This window comes from Homo sapiens, chromosome 4 (assembly GCF_000001405.40).
Source record: "Homo sapiens chromosome 4, GRCh38.p14 Primary Assembly".
Taxonomy (NCBI): Eukaryota; Metazoa; Chordata; class Mammalia; order Primates; family Hominidae; genus Homo; species Homo sapiens.
Window position 1 is genome coordinate 61,091,949 of NC_000004.12, and position 3,831 is coordinate 61,095,779.

The 3,831-nt window shown below is 39.1% G+C and overlaps 1 annotated feature.

The window, feature by feature from the left end:
- Positions 3,263–3,557: an enhancer, noted in NCBI's record as "tiled region #1933; K562 Activating non-DNase unmatched - State 24:Quies". NCBI's record gives its function as "activates a minimal TATA promoter and a strong SV40 promoter by Sharpr-MPRA in K562 cells {active_cell/tissue: K562}" and the evidence as "EXISTENCE:reporter gene assay evidence [ECO:0000049][PMID:27701403]".

Consider the following 3,831-nt stretch of genomic DNA (forward strand, 5'->3'; position numbering starts at 1 on the left):
AATTACCCACACATCTTGCCTCCCCAAGGATACTTGAAAGAGTCATCGGCACCAACCTCCTCAGTGATTTTTAACTTCAAGTTCATTAGCTCAATGGCAGATTGATGCATTGCACTTAAAATACGCTCAAATGTCATCTTTTTAAAAATCGACTAACACAGCCTTCCACTACAGAGTTAAATTCAATCATTCAATTTAGCTTTTGGTTCTTTAGAGAAATTACCTTCCTTTATCAAATTCAAGCTGCAAGGCTGCCATAAAAGGTGTTAATCATGTCATTTGCTACCATTAATGTAAGCTTTGTTTTTATCCAGTTCTCTGCTCAACTTCTTCCTGCATCAATTCTTTTCTAGCCAGAGTGTTCCACTGTATAATTACTTCCTAAGAGTAACTTATGTGCATTAGGAAGCATATTAAACAATCAATCAATAAATATTCATTGAATGTCTACCATATGCCTGAAAGAAGACCTATGCCCTTTACTCAAAGAACTTATCTTATTGGCATAACATGATTTACACACATGAAATGATTAAATAGTCATAAAATAAAATAAACTGCTAAACTGTGTGATTCAAAGAACTATATGCTACAGAAGTTCAATGATAGGAAAGAGGTCAGAGGATTTAAGGTGGACTCTGAGGAATGAAGAGGGTTTTGATAGAAAAGGAAAAAAATGAAAACCATCAGAAAAAGACTGAAAATGGTGTGAACACAGAAGGTGGGCTCAGAAGCCAGAAGGAGGGTGGCCAATGTGAAGTCAAGGGAGCAGCCAGCCTGCCTGGACTGGAAGCTTCATGTTGGGAAACAGTAGGAGATAAGATAGAATGGATAAAACAAGAATAATGTTTATTAGACTGTCCTGCTGTAAAACAAAACAAAAGATCAAAGACTGTCTCTGATCTCTAAAAATTTACATTCCTTAGAGAAAGATAACATTCTAAGAAGAATATTTATCCTGTCTCTTCAAGGTTTTCACCTACAGACTTTTTCTATACCTAAATTTGATCCATTTTCTATAATCCCTTGATTTGTAGGCTAGACAAGAACCTAAATTCAACTTTGATTGCGAAAGTCTATCTCCCTTTACTTAATAGGTTCAGAAGTGATAAAGGATATGACCCAATATAATCAAACATTGACTGGGCATTATTATAATATCCACACTGCTGTGAGGGCCCAGATTATATGTTGTTTTTAAATATAGAATACTTTCCTGAAATAATTATGAATTTGGAATTATAAGAGGGAGGAATTTAATTGAGAATATTTAATAACATCTTAAATGAATTTACCTTGCAAATCGTATAAATTTTTTTAAGTTTGGATTTGACCATCAATTCCTTCTTACCTAGAAAGTTGAAAATCTCTTCCCTCACCTTTTCACCAACCAATTCTGAAAGTGAGACTTGATTTATTGTTCATTGCTATTCTGCTCTTCTGTTTTTTTCCTTGATGCTATGGAGTGGGGGGTGGGAGGGTGTTGCAGAGACCCTTGGCAATGATGCATAGTTTAGTTAATCGAGGCATTTCGGCTTTGTGACCTCCCTCAGAATCCCAGTCAACCCCATTTTCACTCTCCTTCACACTTTCTCTTGTATTTGTCTCATTATGTATATATAAGTGTTTGGAAAAAGTGTTGGTTGCCAATTTAAACTATTTATTGTCTTCGCTGCTTCAGCTGCTGCTGGATTTCTGAATTCAATCTACCAATAACTTCCACGCAGCACATGCTCACTGCAGTTTTAATTGCTCTTGCCAGTTGCCGAACTCTTTGTACACATTCGCAATTCATTGTGTTACGCCCTTAGTGCTGTTTCTGGCATCTGCCCTAACTGCTGGATTTTCATGTATGATGAGGTTCAGCAATTCTCTTTACAAACTTTCTGCCCAATGGGAGGTGCTATTATTGTACTTGATTTGGAGAAATTGGCGATTGCCCCAGGAAATCAAACGAAATCCCTATCTTTTATATTTCCTCATTTTCTTACTCTTACTAAAATCAGAAGTTATTTCACCTAGAGGCTATGAGAGTAGCAGGAAAATTTTTGTTTATTTTAAACCCAAGTCTTTCCACTAACTGTGAGTGTAGAACCCAACCTCACAGAATGAAGAACTAGCTAATAGTTAATGTTGCCTGAGCACCTAAATGTCAAATTGTGTGCTAAATATTTTACATGATTTATTTCAATTAATTTCCACAACAAGCTTATAAAATAAATACTATTGTTCTCCTTATTCAGATAATGAAATTGAAGTTTAAAAAGTTAAAGAAATCTTCCTAAGTTAACAAAACCAGGGATTTAAATGTAGGTAGATATTGATAGCAAAGAAACTCCTATATGCCAGTTTCTTTACTTTTACGTTATATTGCCACTCAGACCATCAATAAAACAAAGAAAATAATCAATTTAGGGTGAGACCAAAACCTCTTGTTTACGACCATTATTTTTTAGGTGATATGAAGCATTGTGAGAGCCCAGAAGGAGAAGAAAATGATGCACTTTACATTATGCATATGGATTATTAAAATAGGCACAACTATTGTTACAAATAGAACCAAGTTTAGCTCAAATATAAGAGAAGTTCATCACTTATTCACATAGTAGTCTAATGGGAAAAATTTAGGTCAGCAGGATGGTTCTCCCTCAATGCTATTATTCAGGAACCCAGACTAACAAGGCTTGGCCGTTCATAATATATGGCTTCCAATGTCTCTCTGGTCATCTTATACTATCACCATTCCAGCCCAAAGAAAAGTGAGAAACAGCATGGAGGGGCATGTCTAGAAGTTTGTACAGCCAGCCTTGGAAGTGGCACACATTACTTGTACTCACATACCATAAAAAGAGCACTGTCTCATGACTACACCTAAATGTGGTGCAGGTTGGGAAACAGTATAGCTGGCCAGCTGTAGGTCCAGCACTTCAATTACGGTGGATGAAAAAGACAATAGGTTGTGAGGGTCAGATAGTCCTCTCCACCACAGTTTATCTCTCTGAGGCAGATAAAACAGAGCCCCCAGCTAAACTGGAGTTCCAGTGCTACAGCAGCTGCTAGTGACCCTGCTCTAACAGGAAATGCAGGAGAGCTGGACACAGGTGTTTACAGTGTGCCTTGCGCAAGATTCTTCTTTTGCCTGTCAGATGGCCTAATGCCTACTTGCCCAACCCACAAGTAGGGATCCCTCACACAAGAAACTTGTTTAGACTGGAAGGTGCTCTTGTGGCTCATGTCTGACCCATGTCCACTTTATGCCTGCCTGACCATTGCTCTGGCCCTGAAAGCGCAACCCTACGTTGCCCTCTGTGTCCTTGGGAAAACCCTGCCTGGGGCAGCCCCTCGTTCTTCAGATGGAAGGCACAAATTCAATATACCACCACAACAGGAAGCAAGTTCAAAGATTTTTACTTGCAGATCCTGGGCAGAGAGAGTGTGATGAGTCAGGAGGGCAGTCTTCCTTCATCCCCAGGTCACATGAGGCCGGAAGGAAAAGTCAGACACACATACACAGAGAGAAAGGCCATGTCAATCCACAGTCTATATAAGTGAATAGGGCATGGGGTATTTAAATTTCACAGGCAAATGCCTGGATAGTCCATGTAAAGGAAGCAGGCCTCCCTGCTAGGTTAGAGCAATGCCTCTAAGTTCTCATCCCTGGCCACCTGCTTGAGCCATTTGGGTGTGGAATTCTCCTTTTAATGTCTAGGCAGCAACCTTTGCTGTGTCCTTCCCTTCACAGACTTACTCTCTCCCAAGGACACAATTCAGTCTTATCCAGATGTGGTATCTAGTCCCAAGCCCAAGATCTCCACCAGGAGAAGTTTTTCT